General features: G+C 42.7%; 1 protein-coding gene, 1 long non-coding RNA gene and 2 other non-coding genes across 4 annotated transcripts, besides 11 other annotated features; 3 read left to right on the forward strand and 1 right to left on the reverse strand.

The window, feature by feature from the left end:
• Positions 986-1,721: an enhancer, noted in NCBI's record as "NANOG-H3K27ac-H3K4me1 hESC enhancer chr6:26284603-26285338 (GRCh37/hg19 assembly coordinates)". NCBI's record gives its function as "activates a minimal SCP1, AML or CMV promoter by ChIP-STARR-seq in naive H9 embryonic stem cells {active_cell/tissue: H9 hESC(naive)}" and the evidence as "EXISTENCE:reporter gene assay evidence [ECO:0000049][PMID:30033119]".
• Positions 986-2,629: a biological region, named in NCBI's record as "BRD4-independent group 4 enhancer GRCh37_chr6:26285047-26286246".
• Positions 1,430-2,629: an enhancer, noted in NCBI's record as "BRD4-independent group 4 enhancer chr6:26285047-26286246 (GRCh37/hg19 assembly coordinates)". NCBI's record gives its function as "activates an origin of replication core promoter dependent on BRD2, P300/CBP, MED14 and CDK7 cofactors, and independent of BRD4, by STARR-seq in HCT116 cells {active_cell/tissue: HCT116}" and the evidence as "EXISTENCE:reporter gene assay evidence [ECO:0000049][PMID:35650434]".
• Positions 1,722-2,457: an enhancer, noted in NCBI's record as "NANOG-H3K27ac-H3K4me1 hESC enhancer chr6:26285339-26286074 (GRCh37/hg19 assembly coordinates)". NCBI's record gives its function as "activates a minimal SCP1, AML or CMV promoter by ChIP-STARR-seq in naive H9 embryonic stem cells {active_cell/tissue: H9 hESC(naive)}" and the evidence as "EXISTENCE:reporter gene assay evidence [ECO:0000049][PMID:30033119]".
• H4C8 (H4 clustered histone 8) lies at positions 1,737-2,145 on the reverse strand. Its single transcript, NM_003543.4, has one exon. It carries the CDS (start codon positions 2,108-2,110, stop codon positions 1,799-1,801), a length of 312 nt encoding a protein of 103 aa, NP_003534.1. The 5' UTR covers positions 2,111-2,145; the 3' UTR covers positions 1,737-1,798.
• Positions 1,836-1,995: an enhancer, noted in NCBI's record as "active region_24233". NCBI's record gives its function as "activates an Ori minimal core promoter by ATAC-STARR-seq in GM12878 lymphoblastoid cells {active_cell/tissue: GM12878}" and the evidence as "EXISTENCE:reporter gene assay evidence [ECO:0000049][PMID:35858748]".
• Positions 2,146-2,535: an enhancer, noted in NCBI's record as "active region_24234". NCBI's record gives its function as "activates an Ori minimal core promoter by ATAC-STARR-seq in GM12878 lymphoblastoid cells {active_cell/tissue: GM12878}" and the evidence as "EXISTENCE:reporter gene assay evidence [ECO:0000049][PMID:35858748]".
• LOC124901287 (uncharacterized) lies at positions 2,291-15,575 on the forward strand. The gene is made up of 2 exons (XR_007059520.1): positions 2,291-2,664; positions 12,682-15,575. It is a non-coding gene; the product is annotated as an uncharacterized LOC124901287 (long non-coding RNA).
• Positions 2,876-2,925: a silencer, noted in NCBI's record as "silent region_17003". NCBI's record gives its function as "represses an Ori minimal core promoter by ATAC-STARR-seq in GM12878 lymphoblastoid cells {active_cell/tissue: GM12878}" and the evidence as "EXISTENCE:reporter gene assay evidence [ECO:0000049][PMID:35858748]".
• On the forward strand, positions 3,137-3,208 carry TRX-CAT1-2 (tRNA-iMet (anticodon CAT) 1-2). Its single transcript has one exon. It is a non-coding gene; the product is annotated as a tRNA-Met (tRNA).
• Positions 12,367-13,026: a transcriptional cis regulatory region, noted in NCBI's record as "candidate enhancer chr6.1129 targeted for multiplex CRISPR interference". NCBI's record gives its function as "positively regulates H4C8 gene expression with high confidence in K562 cells {active_cell/tissue: K562}" and the evidence as "EXISTENCE:mutant phenotype evidence [ECO:0000015][PMID:30612741]".
• Positions 12,407-12,456: an enhancer, noted in NCBI's record as "active region_24235". NCBI's record gives its function as "activates an Ori minimal core promoter by ATAC-STARR-seq in GM12878 lymphoblastoid cells {active_cell/tissue: GM12878}" and the evidence as "EXISTENCE:reporter gene assay evidence [ECO:0000049][PMID:35858748]".
• Positions 12,552-12,846: an enhancer, noted in NCBI's record as "tiled region #6564; K562 Activating DNase unmatched - State 5:Enh". NCBI's record gives its function as "activates a minimal TATA promoter and a strong SV40 promoter by Sharpr-MPRA in K562 cells {active_cell/tissue: K562}" and the evidence as "EXISTENCE:reporter gene assay evidence [ECO:0000049][PMID:27701403]".
• Positions 13,531-14,058: a transcriptional cis regulatory region, noted in NCBI's record as "candidate enhancer chr6.1130 targeted for multiplex CRISPR interference". NCBI's record gives its function as "positively regulates expression of the H4C8 gene with high confidence and the H1-2 gene with lower confidence in K562 cells {active_cell/tissue: K562}" and the evidence as "EXISTENCE:mutant phenotype evidence [ECO:0000015][PMID:30612741]".
• Positions 15,576-16,287: 712 nt separating the features above from the next.
• Positions 16,288-16,360, forward strand: TRR-TCG4-1 (tRNA-Arg (anticodon TCG) 4-1). The gene has a single exon. It is a non-coding gene; the product is annotated as a tRNA-Arg (tRNA).
• The last annotated feature ends 1,360 nt before the right edge of the window (positions 16,361-17,720 follow it).

Below are 17,720 nucleotides of genomic sequence, written 5' to 3' on the forward strand. Positions count from 1 at the left end.
TTTGTTGTTAAATTTATATCCTCATACAAACCAGTGCCTTAGCTCTGATAACATCGTTCTTTTCATATTAATGTACAAGTGCATATCTTTAAAAAAGATGAAACCCTAACTCCATTGATTTTCTCGATTTCAAAGTTATAACCCTACAATTTGCTTGCTGACCACAAAGAGGAAAAATCTGATTTTACAATGGAACTATCATCCTAAAGCAGCAATTGTCCTATTATCTTCAACGTAGATAAACCAGACATATGTCTCTGTATAAACTGACAAGCATATTAACCTGATTTCAACTAAGTATATAAAAGTCACTTCTGCTCAGGACAGAGTATAGAAGCCAAGTAAAATGATGCCGTAAGAAAAGCCAATCCAGGCCGGGCGCGGTGGCTCACGCCTGTAATCCCAACACTTTGGGAAGCCGAGGCGGGCGGATCACGAGCTCAAGAGATGGAGACCATTCTGGCCAACATGGTGAAACCCCACCTATACTTAAAAATACCAAAATTAGCTGGGCGTGGTGGCGCGAGCCTGTAGTCACTTGGGAGGCTAAGGCAGTAGAATCGCTTGAACTCGGGAGGCAGAAGTTCCAGTGAGCCGAGATCACGCCACTTCACTCCAGCATGGCGAAGGTGAGACTCCGCCTCAAAAAAGGAAAAAAAAAGCCAATCCAAATCTCCTACAAGTTTGGTCTCTAGCAAATCATTGTCCTGATGCCTGAATGTGTACTTTTTCAAAAGGCGATCATTGCTGGTTAAGAATTTAAGTTTTCGTGGCCGGGCGCAGTGCCTCATGCCTGTAATCCCAACACTTTTGGGAGGTCGAGGCGGGTGGATCACGAGATCAGGAGTTCGAGACCAGCCTGGCCAACATGGTGAAACCCCATCTCTACTAAAAACACAAAAATTAGGCGGGCGGCTGTAATACCAGCTATTCAGGAGGCTGAGGCAGGAGAATCGCTTGAAACTGTAAGGCGGAGGTTGCGGTGAGCCGAAATCGCGCCACTGCACTCCAGCCTGGATGAAAGAGCAAAACTCCGTCTCAACAACAACAAAATAAGTTATGGTGATGTTTCTATATTGCTCACTAAGCGGTACCCTACCTTTTAATATTTTCGTAATATTCAAAAACACATTTTAAGTCTATTGGAAACAATACTTGCAAGCTCTCAAGTGAACATTTATATTGTTACCCCACACTGCCTTTTGTAGACGAGTTTTGTCACCAAGTCAAAAGCAGCAGCGCGCACGCCGCCTGGACTTGGGTCTGCGATCCTACTCACGCAGATGTGTTGCGCTCACGGATTCGCCTTGGTTTAAGGCCCGCCGTCTGGGTGCGAGCTTTCTTTGTTTTTAGCCCTTCCCGCCATTTTGGAAAGGGTAACTTGCAGTCTCTCCGCGAAGTTTCCAACTTCTGTAGTCTTTGAGAACCTTACGAACGCTTCAAGCTTAAACTGAAGGAGGAAGGCCCACGGGAATTATAAACTGTCACAATCCAGCTTACTCACTGATATCTAGTGTTAAAATGCCACAAGAAAGCTAAACATATTCAACATACCAACTTCCCTCAAGCAGAAAACAGTGGCTTTAAGTACTTTATGCCCAAATCCTAAACATGCGAGATTAAGCACGAGTAATTAAACGTTACCTGCAAATCTACACATGTGCACAGTAACTACTTCTCAGCAAAAATCTGGAACAAAGCAGGATAACAAGATGTCTGCTCTTTTATGAAAAAAGTGGGCGGCCCTGAAAAGGGCCTTTGGTTGAAAATGAAAATAAGAGTGCAGCAAGCAGGAGCCTTAGCCACCGAAGCCGTAAAGAGTGCGTCCCTGTCGCTTCAGCGCGTAGACCACATCCATTGCTGTCACGGTCTTGCGTTTGGCGTGCTCTGTGTAAGTGACAGCGTCACGAATCACGTTCTCCAGGAACACCTTCAGAACACCACGAGTCTCCTCATAGATAAGGCCAGAAATTCGCTTGACACCGCCGCGACGAGCAAGGCGCCGGATAGCTGGCTTAGTGATGCCCTGGATGTTATCGCGCAAAACCTTGCGATGACGCTTAGCTCCTCCCTTACCCAAACCTTTTCCACCTTTACCACGGCCAGACATGACTAAGCAACTTCTAAAACCAACTTAAGAAACCTAAACGCCAAGGCAAAGCAACGCCCTTATATGCCGGGAATTCGGACCTAATTGAAGACTGAAAGCGCGCATACCGGAACTTTGGTCCTGCTTCTTGGCCCCACCCCGCATAGCCCAGCCCTGGATGACGTCACCAACGACTCCAGCCTTTGGCATCTGAGCGCCGGCTCCGCGGAGGCGTCTCTTGCAATTGCTGGGAAATAGGAATGAGAGTTTTAAGGCTGTTTTAACAACCAAATCAGATTAAATAAATTAACATGTTTAAATTGTTATCAATTGTTCCTTCAGTTGCTTTAGGACGATTGGAGAGGAGCCTCGGTCCACAAGACCGGAAGCCTGAGGAGTGCAGCTTTGTCCCCAAGGTCACAGTGACTGGCTTTCTGCTGCCGGCTGTAAAGCACATGCGGACCGAAACCCCCCTTCGGAAGTGTTTGAAAACTGCAAGATTTCACCCTCTCCATCACCAAGCCAAGGGAAACATAACCAAAAGGGTTTTCTTCCCGATGGCGAAGGCATGATAGGTTAGTGATTCGTGGTAGAATTATTGCCCTCCGCGCGGAGGCCTGATTCTATTCCCAGTTTGTTCTCTTCTTTCCCTGCTTATTAAAATTTGTAATTGCCATTTAAATATCTAACTGCCCCTCACAACTGCACCCAGTGTGTAGGTTTCGGGGTGGGGGTTTTTTTTTTTCCTTTTTTTAATTTTATTGAGACAGGGTCTCGCTATGTTGCCTGCCTGGGTCTTCCAAAGTGCAGTGACTACAGGCGTGAGCTACCGCGCCTAGCCCACCAGTGTATTGATATTTATTTTTCTATCCCTAGTTTTGTTTTCTGTTTGATTCTGGTGATTCCTTTTTCCAAAGTGAGTTGGCAACCTGTGGTAGCCAAAGAAGTAGGCAACTGCTCGTAGGTTTTTTCTTAAATTACGAGGTAGTCTGAACGCATCTCCTGTAAGTAGTTAAGAGTACTGTGAGACCGTGTGCCTGGCAGAACAGCAGAGTGGCGCAGCGGAAGCGTGCTGGGCCCATAACCCAGAGGTCGATGGATCGAAACCATCCTCTGCTAGGTCCTTTTTTTTTCTCCCCCCCCGTCTATTTTCCTGAGGATCCCTTTTTTTTAAGTTACAGTTTTTTAGGTTAAACAATGACGAAAGAAAACAAAATGAACCCGAGTATTTCTTTAATTCCAGAATTACAAGCATTTCCGGGAAATAATGTGAAACTACAATCTCTGCATGTACAATTTTGATTTTCATGGACACCCAAGTGTCATTAATCAATATGTCATCTGTAAACAAAGCAAATTTCTCTTGTTTAGAGGCTATACCACTGTTGCAGCCAGTTATGACAGTTGTAAGTTAACCTGCCAAGCAAGGAGAATGCTTACATAAACTGAGTGCCAAGGGTGGGGTGGGGTGGGAGCCCAGGAATGGAGTTTTATATCTTTTGATACATAATTCAGAAAGCACTATTTGCCAAGTAGTTAAGGCAATCGACTAGGAATTCCTAAATCCCCACACAGATTCTTTTCACCTACAAGGATCTTAATCTCGGAAAATGAGTTGCATTTTGAGGTGGGTGTGGAGTCTTCATAGCACTGATTGAACTCTGACCTGAGAAAAACATTTTTGCGGACCCTACTGGTAAATGTGTCTCTACTCTCTACCATCCTTTAATATCTCAAATAGAACTATTCGCTGTGCTTATTTTTTAAACATATGTGTGGACTGCTTTATGCTTCTCTCTCTCAGAAAGGATTCCTATTCAGATATTTATGTGTCACATACTGTATTAGGAACTAAGAAAAAAAAAAAACCTTAAGTAGTCTACAGTCTAGATATGCTTTTGTTGTTTTTGTTTTTTGTTTTTTGTTTGTTTATTTGTTTTTGAGATGAAGTCTCACTCTTGTTGCCCAGGCTGGAGTGCAGTGGCACGATCTTGGCTCATTGCAACCTCCACCTCCTGGGCTCAAGAGATTCTCCTGCCTCAGCCTCCCAAGTAGCTGGGATTACAGGTGCCTGCCATCACACTCAGCTAATTTTTGTATTTTTAATAAAGGCAGGGTTTTACCATGTTGGCCAAGCTAGTCTTGAACTCCTAACCTCAGGCAATCCGCCAGCCTTGGCCTCCCAAACTGCTGGGATTACAGGCTTAAGCCAACGCACCTGGCCCATATGCTTTTAAACAAGTAAATATGTAGAGTGCAATACAGTAATTCTGTGAAAGGATTGTACACTAAGTGCACTGGGAATAAGGAAAATAGTGCTTGTAATCCCATGACCACCCACTAATTCAGTAATTCACCAGAAGTAATCACATGACTCAGCATACTCTCAGTTAAGATTTATTATATCTATTGACCATTTTTTGTTTGGGTTAAAGAACATGTTTTAAAAATAAAAACAAAAAAGATTCATTACAGCACAGGATACAATGCAAGAAAAGCAGAAAAAATATGTATATACACAGGTAAATGTGGCTGTTACTATAGGACTGAATGAAGGAGGATGAACACAGAAATGAAGACAAAGACAAAAGGATTTGTTTAAAAGAAGGGGTCAAGGGGCTCCTAGCTTCTAGAGAACAAGGGCCCTGAGCTTCTACAGCCCTTCGTATTTATTAGGTAGAGTGAACAAGGAGGAAGGGGTAACTGTCGGTCAGCTACTGGATTTATCACAGGCTGACGATTGCTTTCTTTGTTCAACAGACTCTAGATATTCCTATAGATAACCTTAAGGAACACGGTGCCTGGGACGTGATTGCTCTCAGCATTCCTTCTAGTGGCAGATGCACTTGTCAGTTTGCCAGCATGCTGCTTTCATGAGAACAGTTTGCTGTTTGCTCATATACCCTCCAGTGGTATATTGAGTTGGTCACGTCCCTCATTCCTTTGGCCTCCAACATCTCCCCCTTTTTGTTTTTGCATTAATTGAATAAAGGCAATTCCAGACTGCAGCTTTCAATTGCCAGTTGGTGGTCCAGCCGATTTTACAGACCATAAACAGAAAACAGAGACACAATAACATTATTCCTATAATTATAAAAGAGACATTGAGGTGCTGTTTAAAGTAGATCCAAGGGTTAAGCTTCTCTAAACCTTGCTGGAATTAGCTCCAAGCTTCTAAAGAGGGCTGATACTCTTAAGTTTGCCTATTCAGATCAAGAATTTTACTCTGTAAATCATTAATATCAAAAGTAACATTGGATGTAAAAGCCCCCTGCAAATGGGCCTTTACAAGTCTCCATGGATATTCACTTTGATTATATTACACAAATTAGTTACACAAATATAAGTATGGTTAAAATGACAATGCAATTGCTGCTGCAACTGCAAACATTGTATTTGTTCTCCTAGCCACAGGACAGTAGTCTTTAACATTGCCACCTCTGTTTGTATTTTGGTGTTAATTTTATTTTGAAGCATCCGTGCCTGGTTGGCCATATGCGTCCAATTTTTCACATATTCAGCTGTTTGAATAGAGCTGTGCAGTGCTACTGAGGACACTACAATAGAGGTTATTAGTGTAACTAGGGAGACTGTACCAAAAATTACCATGCCTAAGGCTCTACAAGCACAGTGAGTGAGCTGAGTAAGAAGGAGTTGTACAAAATATAAAGCCGGGATAGCCACCCAAGGCTCAAACAAATTGACAGGAATCCATAATCTGGGAATGCAACCCGGAATTATTAAGGTGGATATGTTGTGTGTTTGTATCGTGCTATGATTTATGCAGTGATACAGTTGACAGGAGTCACAAGTCAAATGGGAGACGTTTACCTGGAGTTGGTCCTTTTTAGCCGCCAGAAAGATACAGGGATTAAAAACACAAATTGTAAATTGAGTGATAATATTTCTTACAAAGGTAACATTAAAACTGTGTTGAGTCCTATTACTATTATTGGATAGTGTCCTGACCCAGATGCTGCCATTCATAAATGGGAGTGCTAACTTCCATATCGACTGCTGAATTGGGCCCCTCTTTCCTTGATGACGCCGCTGAGGCAAAGGCGGACTAAAGCCTGTTCCGTGCCAAGCCAGTTGCGTGGCAGATTAGGATTGAATCCCAATGCGATATAGCGAAGAAATGTTAAATGTTCACCACCAGTGGCAGCGAAGTTTGTTCCATGAGGTCTGATTCTCATCTCTCCCAAATGACCACAGGGACCCCAGTCAATAATGTCTCCCATTAACATAGACTTGTCTAGCTAAGGGGTCAAGACACTGGATCCAAGGAGGGGGGTGAGAATTATTGAAGGGAGCCCATTCTGTATAATCAATACAATTTGGACGATGGGGCTGGGAGAGATTAGTAAATCCACCAGTAATATTATTAGAGCTAAGGCCTAATAGGTACATAATGTTTCCATGGTGACTCAACCATGCCTGGGATTGGACTGCAAGGCAACTGCCATTGAGCGATGTATCCTTGGTGATGCATAAAGGGAGTCCCTCCAATGGGGCAGTGTAATTGATACTATTGTTCTGACAGTCTAATAGTTCTGTGTCAGGGGGAGTTAGGGGTCCTGGGGTCCATGCTCCCTGATCACGATATACCTCAGGAGGAGTGTCACTCCAGAGTACAGGTCGCACTACTCAGGGGTTAGGAACATATGCCCGACATGTTTTTGCTTCTACACAGGGGAAACATACCACACAGGACACTACAGCTAGTATGGCCAAGAACATTGATTCAGGGGTTTTTGCCTGACCCTGGCACTCCAGCATTTTCTCAGCTTCCTGCATGGTTTTCTTGATCTGTCCCCATGTTATGAGGGTGGATGTCAATGTGACTCCAGTCGGCCCTTGTTCCATCTTTGCATTCAGATTCAACTGGCCTATGGCTTGTACTGGGGGAACCGGGCCCATGGTTGCGATCCACGGATCCCTCCAGTCTCCCGTTCCATGGTTGCACGTACCTGGAGGGCACCTACACAGTTTGTCCATCTCCTGTAAAAACACAAGCATACCCTCATCCCCACATCAGCAAATCCACTGGGCCTTTCCTTTGTCCTTCTTCTGGGGATTTCCATAACACCTTTGGATAAACTTGCCTCTTTCCCTCTAACACTTGCCAATGTTGTTCTGCTAGAGTCTTACCATCCATACCAGGCATCAAAAAATTTAAAGTAAACAAGACTAAATGTAATTTTGTTTAAGGTGGTAGCTGGTCTCCTATTCCCCCTTTTTTTCTCAACATACGCTGTAGTGTTTGATGTGCCCGCTCTATAATGCCTTGTCCTTGGGGATTGTAAGGAATTCCTGTTTTATGAATGATTGCCCATAACTGTAAAAAATTTTGAAAAGCATGACTAACATAAGCAGGTCCATTGTCAGTTTTTAATTGTTTAGAGACCCCCATATGGGCAAATGACGACAAACAATGCCATTGGACATGGCCAGCAGTTTCCCCTGTTTGACATGTGGCATGTAACATATTGGAGTAGGTGTCTATAGTCACATGAACATAGCTAAGTTTGCCAAAGGCTGCTGTATGTGCAACATCCATCTGCCAGATTTCATTTGGAGCCAAGCCTCGTGGGTCGCATCCTTCCACGGGTGCAACACCAGGGACATGCTGACAAGTGGAGCAGGCTTGCACAATAGCTTGAGCTTGACTGCAAGGCAGATGAAACATATGAGTAAGGGCAGAGGTGTTTTGATGCAGTAATGCATGGGAAGCTTGGGCTTGTTGGAATACAGAACCAATTAATTTATCTGCTTTATCATTACCTTGAGATAGTGGTCCAGGAAGTTGCGTATGAGAGCGAATAGGAGCAGCACAAGAGAGAATAGCTTGCTGAAGTCTTAGAAACAAATTAAGCAGCTCTGGTTCTAGGGTGCCCTTAATAGTGGCAGTCTCAATGCAACTAGCTGCATTTACAACATAGGCTGAATCACAAACAATATTAATAGGAGATAAAGCCGTGAGCTCTAAAACCTGAATAACTGCGATTAACTCTGAGCATTGAGCTGAAACTCCAGAGATCTTTATTGTTTGAGTATGTTTAGTTGCATAAATAGCTGTGCGGCCTTTGTAAGAGCCATTGGTAAAATATGTCTTTCCACCTGGAATGGGCTTGTGATGGGTAATTACAGGGAGGATAAAAGGGTGAACTTTATAAAATTGCAAAATCTTGTCTGATGGATAATGGTTATCTATTATTCCCACAAAATCTGCAAAAGCAATTTGCCATGCAGTCGACATTTCCCATGCTGCGGCCTGTTGTTGGGAATCCAAGGGAACAATAATTTTATCAGGATCATATCCCGTAAGCATTTTTTACCTGTGCCTACCTATTGTTATAAGTTGAGTAATTAAAGAAAGATAAACTTGCAAAGATTTCACTGTCAGATTGAATAAAAAAAAAAAAAGCCTTTATATTACCATTACAGATTTGTCTATGAATTGGCCTAAAAATCCTGATGGAGAATGGGGGGTAGGAAGAATAAACAAAAGCAAAGGCTTTTGTGGCTGTAGCCGGGAGGCATGTTGTTGCTGAAGGATCTGTTCTACACGCTGTCACTCAGCTTCTGCCTCGTTAGTAAGTTGCCGAGGAGAATCTAATGAAGAATCTCTTTGGAGGGTTTGATAAAGGTGTGTGAGTTGGTAGATGGCAATACCTAGCATCAGGCACAGCCAATTGATATCCCCTAATAATTGTTGGAAGTCATTCAGAGTTTGTACCCTCTCCCTACAGAGAGTTACTTTCTGAGGCCGAACACTTCTTCCAGTAACAATAGTACCTAAGTACTGGTATGGGGAGGTTGTTTGCACCTTTTCAGGAGCTATTTTGAGATTCCATGCAGTCAAGACTCATTTTATTTCCCTGAATAACTGATGTAACATTTGATCTGTAGGAGCGGCCAAAAGAATATCATCCATATAATGAATGATGTAGGCATTGGGAAATATATTGCGAGGCTCCTTTAAAGCTTTTCCTACAAAATGCTGACATAACATAGGACTGTTGAGCATGCCTTGGGCTAAAACTTTCCACTGAGAGCGAGAGACAGGCTCTCTTTGATTAATAGAAGGCACAGAGAAGGCAAATTGAGGCTTATCCTTTTTGTGTAATGGTATATTAAAAAAAAAACTCTTTAAGACCTATTACTACAAGAGTCCAATCTCTTGGAATGGCTGCTGAGGATGACAGACCTTGCTGTAATGCACCCACTGGTTTAATCTGTGCATTTAATAGCTCTCAAATCATGTAGCAGTTGCCATTTTCCTGACATTTTTGGATCACAAATACAGGTGAATTCCAGGGGCTGACTATTCTGTATGTTCTGCTTCCAGTTGCTCTCTCACTAGCTGATGGAGTTGCATCAGTTTCTCCTGTGATAGGGGCCATTGATCCACCCACACAGGTTTGTCAGTCAGCCACTCTAGCGGCAAAGCAGTGGGTGGAGGAGAAATACCAATGACCCCCACCAAAAATCCTGATGACCTAGCCCTTTTCTGTTTTGTCCAGTTATTGATATTGGATCAGGGTTTCCCTGCAGGGGCTTTCCTAAGCCTTTTCCACTCTGAATCCCATTTTCTTTAACATTTTAAATCCTGGATTATCAATAGTTTCCTTTTTAAGTCTCATGTCCCATGCTGTCAGTAAATCTCGGCCCCATAGATTAACAGCTATATTTGCAACATAAGGTTGAAAAGTACATGACTGTCCATGTGGTCTGAGACAGGATAAAATCTCAGCACTCCACTGAACACTTTGAGCTTTCCTAGTCCCACTAAGGATGTAGAAGTTAATTGCAGGGGTCAAGATGGTGGGCCAATAGTGTTTGGATATTACTAACACATCAGCTCCCGTATCCATAAGCCCATAGAACTTCTTTCCTTTAATTTGCACTGTACAGGTGGGTCGATTAAATGCTATGGGTTGTGATAGATAAATTTACCGCCTAGTTGTACTTCCAAATCCTTGATTCCCTCGTTTTTCCTTTCATGGGGAAGGGTGCAACTTGCAGGGAATAAGCAATAGTTGAGCAGTATATTCTCCCAGTTCAAAAACCCAAAGATCTTGTGACATTACTACTACTTGAATTTCTCCTTCATAATCACAGTGAACAACTCCGGGGACCATGGTAATGCCCTGTAAGTTAAGACGGCTTTTGCCCAAAATTAATCCCATATATCCTGTTGGCAAAGGTCCCCAAATACCAGTGGGAATCTTCGTGGGTTTGTCTCCTCCAACAAATGTAACCCGTTCTCTGACTGGAAGATCTAATCCTGTGCTTCTGGGTGTTCCTGGGGAGAGGGAATCAATGTTCTTCTGGGAACCCATCCCTGAAATGGGGCTGTGGCCTGGATGGGGAATGCCCTCATTGTTTGAGGGGCCCGGATCCAGGCCCCCTTCTCGTTTCCCGACAGGGGGGTGCTATTCTGATGAAATTTTGAGCGGCATTGATTAACCCAATGATTTCCTTTATTACAACGAGTGAAAAGTCCTGGCATTTTTTCTGTCTGGGGGAACTGCATTATAAGATCCTCTCTGCCCAGAGGTCTGATGGCATTCTTTTTTGAAATGTCCAATTTTTCCACAATTATAACATTTTCCTACTTTAGGGCTTGACCCTTGGCCCTTTCTAGATTTGTTACTACTAAATTAGCCATTGCTTGAGCCAACATTGTAGAATGATGGAGTTCAGTTCCCACATCCTGACAGGCTTTGAGAAATTTTCCTAAGATCTTTGCAGACCTCACAGGTGCCAGAGCACGTTTACAATCTGCACTTGCATTTTCAAAAGCTAGAGTCAAAGTAAGCATTTCTGCAGCAGCGGTATGAGGAATCTGATGCCTCACTGCCTCTTGTAATTGTACAACAAAATGTGCATAGGACTCCTGCGACCCTTGCATAACTTGTAGAAAAGATTGTACTGGGACTCCTTGCTCTGGAATGGTGTCCCAGGCGCGTTTAGCAGCCAAGGCAGACTGCTTGTAAGCAGTGCCTGGGAGTGTCAATTGTCGCAGCAGATCTGAATAAGGGCCATTACCCAGTTGCATATCCTCTGTAATGTCCCCGTGTCCAGCAGCACGATTCTGTCTAGTCTGGTCTGCACACAGTTCTAGCCAGTTTAAATTCCATGTCAGATATGCACTACCAGACAAACAAGTGTGAGCCAAATGCTTTATATCAAAGGCTGGAAGGCACATAGCACCGAGTACAGATTCTAGCAATCCTAAAGTAAATGGGCTCTGTATTCCATTATTAACTACACTAGCTTTTAATTCCTTCAACAACTTAAACTCTACCGGGGTGTGTTCATAAGTAAACTGCTGTGGATTATTCAGATTGGGCCTTACGGAAATAGGAAAAGCGCAAGGTCCTAGGGGCTCTCCAGCTATGGCAGCAGCGCAGAGAATTCTTTGTGTTGGGGTCTCTTTCTGCTACTGAAGGAGGCGGTATAGATGTTTCTGCTATTGGGGGGATGGTACAGGCCAATTTTCGTCCTTTCCTGTTTATCATTTTCTTTTCTTTTCTTTTTTTTTTTTTTTTGAGACAGAGTCTCGCTCTGTCACCCAGGTTGGAGTGCAGTGGCACGATCTCAGCTCACTGCAAGCTCCGCCTCCCGGGTTCACGCCATTCTCCTGCCTCAGCCTCCCAAGTAGCTGGGACTACAGGCACCCACCACCACGCCTGGCTAATTTCCTTGCATTTTTAGTAGAGATGGGGTTTCACTGTGTTAGCCAGGATGGTCTCAAATCTCCTGACCTCACGATGCGCCCACCTCGGCCTCCCAAAGTACTGGGATTACAGGCGTGAGCCACTGTGCCTGGCCTCCTGTTTATCATTTTCAATGCATGCTGTGGGTGAGACAAAAGATTCTTTCAATTTTTGAGATTCAGAACATGGCTCCTGTGGTCCAGCAGAATAAGAAGGGGACAATGGCAGAAGGACAGTACAGACTAAACCCCAGAGAAAACAGAAGGATCAACTTTGAGACCTTTTTGATGAGCCCGTTTTAATCTGTCTCCTACTGGGTCCCAATTTTCCACATTGAGGGTGCCTGTCTGTGGAAACCATGGGTTATGCATAATAAACTCCTGCAGAAGCTTAGTTAGTGTTTGAGAGCTAACCTGAGCATTAAGCAACTGCACATAATGTTGCTCCTCCATAGACAAATTCTGCCCCATGTTACCCTGATTCAGAAACTTCCCGCTCCCAGTACCTCCTCAGGGCACTGACTTTATATCCTCCTCTGGCTGACTCGTCCTGGGGTTCCTCGTTCATCTGATCAGTTTCACTTTCTCTGCTCCAGCAGACCTTCTTCATTCAAGTCTCTGTTTGGGTGCCATTGTGGCTGTTACTGTAGGACTAAACGAAGGAGGACAAATGCAGAAATGAAGACAAAGACAAAAGAATTTGTTTAAAAGAAGGGGTCAGAGGGCTCCTTGCTTCTAGAGAACAAGGGCCCTGAGCTTCTACAGCCCTTCATATTTATTACGTGGAGTGAACAGGGAGGAAGGGGTAACTGTTGGTCAGCTACTTGATTTATCACAGGCTCACATGATTGCTTTCTTTGTTCAACAGACTCCAGATGTTCCTATAGATAACCTTAAGGAACACGGTGCCTGGGACGTGGTTGCCCTCAGCATTCCTTCTGGTGACAGATGCAGTTGTCAGTTTGCCAACATCCTGCTTTCATGAGAACAGTTTGCTGTTTGCTCATATACCCTCCAGTGGTATATTGAGTTGGTCACGTCCCTCATTCCTTTGGCCTCCAACAGGTGAAGGCTAAAGAAGGCTTTCTCATCCAACGTCTTCACTGAGGATAGGAAAGCCCTTTCTCTCCAATTGTGAACTGCACGCATGTGTGTAAGCTATGCTTGCATAGCAAAGTCCACTTGGGCATTAGAGTCAAAGTTGTTAAGGGGAGCTAGTCATAGCTACCACGTGGCCAGGCATGTGGAACCAGACACCAGGCACACATCATGAATCATCATATTTACTTTAAATAATGCTGACAACCTAGTTCATAGTGACACACTACTTGAGATATATAGAATAACATTATTACCCAGTAAGTATGTGAACATTCCGATATTTTAGTAAGGGTCATCACCATGGCACTTATCTACAGAGATAAATGAAAACTAAAACAGGGTTGCTGCATTAATTTTGCCCTGGCAATTGTCTGATTCTGAAATGGTGGCAGGTTTTGAGCCAAAACTTGAATGAGTAAGAACTTGCCATATAGCCGAGAAGAGCACTCTAGCAAAAAGAAATAAATATAAGGAAGCATAATAGTTAAAGGTTTTTAAGGAACTACAAATAATTCAGTGTGATGAAGTATGGAGGTGAGGTCATGTGAGGGAGAGGGATTTGGAGAGAAAAGTGGCTGTGTTCCGATCACCTCCTGTGCACCTGTTGAAAGACAATAAATTCTCCTGCCCTAAATAGTAAGAAGGCTGGACACATGACCTCAACACTGAATAAATGAGACTGGCAGAAATTTATTAGTCATATGTACTCACAGCCTGGAAAAAAGAGGGCACTGCATACCGTGCAAGGCCACAGAAGGTTTGCACTCAGGAACAGAATGAACCATTAGGGGCTGTGAGAGGTAGGCTTTGTAGTCATCAGAGGGTTGGGTGACTCCTGGTTCCCTCCAGAGAATGTAGTTGGCTTGCTTTAACAGTTTTAGGGACTGGCAGTGAGACGAAACCCATTAGGTTGAGGCCTGAGTGAGATGCAGCTGGTCTGTCAGATAAGGGAACTGGACAAGTAGGGAACCTTTCCTGCTTGTGGGAGTCATAGCTATCAAGACAGGGGAATTTGTGGATAAGCATTTTTGGGGAGCTCTGTGAGGGTCAAAAATCTCAAGGCAGCAGTTGAAATTTTAGGTCTTACAATACCTAAAATTGGTTTGGAGTTATGGCAGAACAAAAAGGGAAAGAACAGGTCATAAGGGCGTGAGTATACAAGGCAAACACTTGGATTTTATTTTTCAGTGGGCAATAGGAAACCACTGACCAATTGTGAGCAAAGAATATTATTCCAGTTCTCTTCTGAGAAAAAAAAGTCTCTGTCCCATTCCAGGAGGTGCAGCAATCAATCAATCAATCAATAAGGGGGGAAATAAAGGAAAAAAGTCTTTAGAGTTTTCATGTTTATGATCTGGTCCTTGATTGGTTTATTTTTCAGCAAGTCACTTCTTTTCTAACTTGGGAAAGGGAAAGTTTGGGACTGTATATATTTATTTAAATCTGACCACTCCACACTAGTCATCTCCACTTGAATGTTCAATACACAACTTGAAGTAAATGCTGAAACAGATTCTAGATCCCCACCACACACATACACACTCCACTCTCAAAATGCTCTTTCTGAAGTCATTCCTGTCTCAGTAAATGCAAACTGTGTTGTTACAGCAAAAGAAACTGGAGATATATATGACTTTTCTATTTATTTCACACCAATTTAATCACAAACCCTTTAAAACATACCCAGAATTCAACCACTCCTTGATACTTCTACAAACACTACCCATAATGGTTTATGGGTCATCCAGATATTATAATAGCCTTTCAATCAATCTTCTCCAGGAAGGAGAAAGAGAGAGCAACAAAGATTTTTGCAGAATAGAAGAATATTGTTAAATAATTATCACATTGGCCGGGCGTGGTGGCTCACGCCTGTAATCCCAGTACTTTGAGAGGTCAAGGTGGGAGGATCAGCTCAGGTCAGGAGTTCGAGACCAACCTGGCCAACATAGTGAAACCCCGTCTCTACTAAAAATACAAAAATTAGCCAGGCATTGGTGGTGGGCGCCTGTAATCCCAGCTACTTGGGAGGCTGAGGCAGGAGAATCGCTTGAACCTGGAAGGCAGAGGTTTCGGTGAGCTGAGATGGTGCCACTGCACTCCAGCCTAGGCCACAGAGTGAGACTCTGTCTCAAAAATAATAATAATAATAATAATAATAATAATAATAATTCTCACATTGAAGATGATTGCAGAATTCGAAAATAAATGAGAAATTCGGCATATTTTTATTGAGCTCCTACTATTTGTCAGATGTTATTCTATGGATAGGGAAAGAAAGACTATGTAAAAGGCCCAATTTCTATGCACCAGAAGCCGCTATATTTGCTAACCAAGAGAAACCAAGACTTATCACAAATGAGCCAGGAGAGCCATTATTCCCAGTATCTGGGGTTTAGGAAAATTAAGGAAATGTCTTATATGTAGGCTGTTGACATTATCTTCAAATGAAGTACTTGACTTCACAGAGATTCACTGACAGGCTTGAAAGAAGCCACACAAAATAGAACTTTATATGCCATGATGGGGCCAAGAGCGCTACGGAACATTATAAATTCTATAAATATCTTCTCCATAGTATGATGCTAATGCATTACATTTTCGTGTTGATTCATCTATTAAATGTAAAAATTGTTAATAATAAAAATTTTTGCATTTCTATTTCGTGTTCCTTCACTTCTTAATATATGGGAACCTCAAAAACTGGTAATGGCTCTAGTCCGCTCGGCACTCCTGAGAAACCCCAAGGAAAGTATTTTCTTTCCTTTCTAAACAGAACCATACCACGAAAAGTGCTCTGATATCACATTATCACAATCAGAGAAAGTACCAGAACAGCATGGAGAGGGGGTAATTGTCTCCGGGGTCTGCAGATATCCATGCAGGATGGCGAGAAAGACCACGGTACAGATGTTGCCTTGTGGTAAAACTGCCTTCCAGGTACAGTTTTCTTAACAACTATCTGGGCAGACCCTGCAAGAACCTAGTCTGTAAATGGTGAATGTGGATGAGCATCATAGGGAAGAAACCTTGAGTAAGCTTATTTTAACATATCCTTCGATGCAGACAATATGCAGAATTTTAGCATCTTTTAGATGCCATAAACTCCGCTTCTTCTGCCTTGGGAGTCAGAACAAACGACTTTTCTCTCCAAGGAGTAGTTATATTACCACAAGACTAAAATAATTGTCGATACCAACCGTTTATAAATCCCGATTCTGTGGCCCCAAATATCCCACCTAATCTAAAGTTTTCATTTTCTCATTGGCGAAAACACGGGCGCTGTAGATGCCAACACGGGGGGTTGGAGGGGGCGGGTGGGGGGAAGCTCGTTTTATTTTCTAAGTATTGCAGCAACAACGGAACTGCGGGGGACCACGTGGCCTAATGGATAAGGCGTCTGACTTCGGATCAGAAGATTGAGGGTTCGAATCCCTTCGTGGTTAAGTGGGGTTCGTTTTCGGGCATGAAAATTTTATTACCCATTTCATTCCAAGAAAAAAATAAATCATACACTCTCTGGGTTTTCTGAATCCTTTTTTTCTTCCATCTCCTCTCCTTTAAAGGGAAGAAGGAGACATTCTCAAAGGCCTTAGGAGAACAAGTGACAGAGTGAAGAAAGACTGGAAAGTCAAAACTGAAATACAGCCATCTACTACTTTGGAGCTGTCAGGTTCTCCCCAAGTTTGGATTTTAAGCACCTGCGTTTCGGTTTTGTAGGCTTAGATTCAATTCAAGGATTCAATTCCTTGAAAAAAAGAAATTCAGATCTATAAGCCAAGCTGTCTCAAACTGTAGCGTCTCAGACTAATGCCAGGCCCCAGTGGCTAGCACAGTAGGAAACCTGTTGCTTCTTCTGATTTAGCACTAGGCCAAAAACTCTTCACATTTCTTTTTTAGTCTACATCCGCGTGTACCAAGGAGTTTTGGCAGCTGCTGAAGCCTATGTTACTAGTTCTTACTCTCCATTTTAACTTTTTTGTTGTGGGTGTGTTGCCATCAAAAGGATGAGAATACCTAATATTGAATTTTATATTGCAAAGCAAAAATATAAAGGTAATTAAAATAGTCCAACTGGTTACAGTGTGTGTGTGCAAACAGGAAAAGACAGGGAACACAGCTGTGCAAAATATATAAAAAACATTTTGTATTCCTAAATAACATTTTGTGTGCCTGAATTTAATAATAATTTAGGATTAAGGAAAAGTAATTTCCAATTGCTGACATCATGATGAAACATAAGACATTTGACTCCATCCAGATGAGATCATTGATTCAAATCACATGGAGTCCATAAGTGTGTTTCTAGATCAAAGCAAAGAATATTAAAATTAGTAATAATTACCTCTCCCTGTCCCCAGCTTCTTCCATAGCTCTGTTTGATTCTGGTTTCCTCTAGTCATCTGTAGATTCCAAGTTGTATAAAAAATGTGGGGATTGAGCATTGGTTTCCAGACTTTGAAATTTATTGGATTAGAAAGTGTCAATGTCCTAATGTCATGCAAAACCATGTTCTGCCTTGTTAATGGCAAAACCCACCATTTGCACTGAGCATCCTTTTATAAACTAGAAAAAGGATATAACCTCAAAAGAAGAGTAACCTTTTAAAATGAATACAGTGATACTTGAGAATTACATAGCCCACCTTTTTTCTTGATTCTAAGAACAGGAAAAAGCTTCCTCCTCTCTCTCTGATCAGTATGTAACCCTGTGTACCAGAGGATGAACAAGACTTTTTCCAGGGGCCCCACAGCCTCCCTCAAGCATTTAATGAAAGTGGAAATTCTGATGCAAGAATATAAAAAT

This window comes from Homo sapiens, chromosome 6, assembly GCF_000001405.40.
Source record: "Homo sapiens chromosome 6, GRCh38.p14 Primary Assembly".
NCBI lineage: Eukaryota > Metazoa > Chordata > Mammalia > Primates > Hominidae > Homo > Homo sapiens.

Excerpts from the sequence above, each read along its gene's own strand:
- H4C8 (NM_003543.4), bottom strand. The coding sequence starts at position 2,110 with ATGTCTGGCCGTGGTAAAGGTGGAAAAGGTTTGGGTAAGGGAGGAGCT.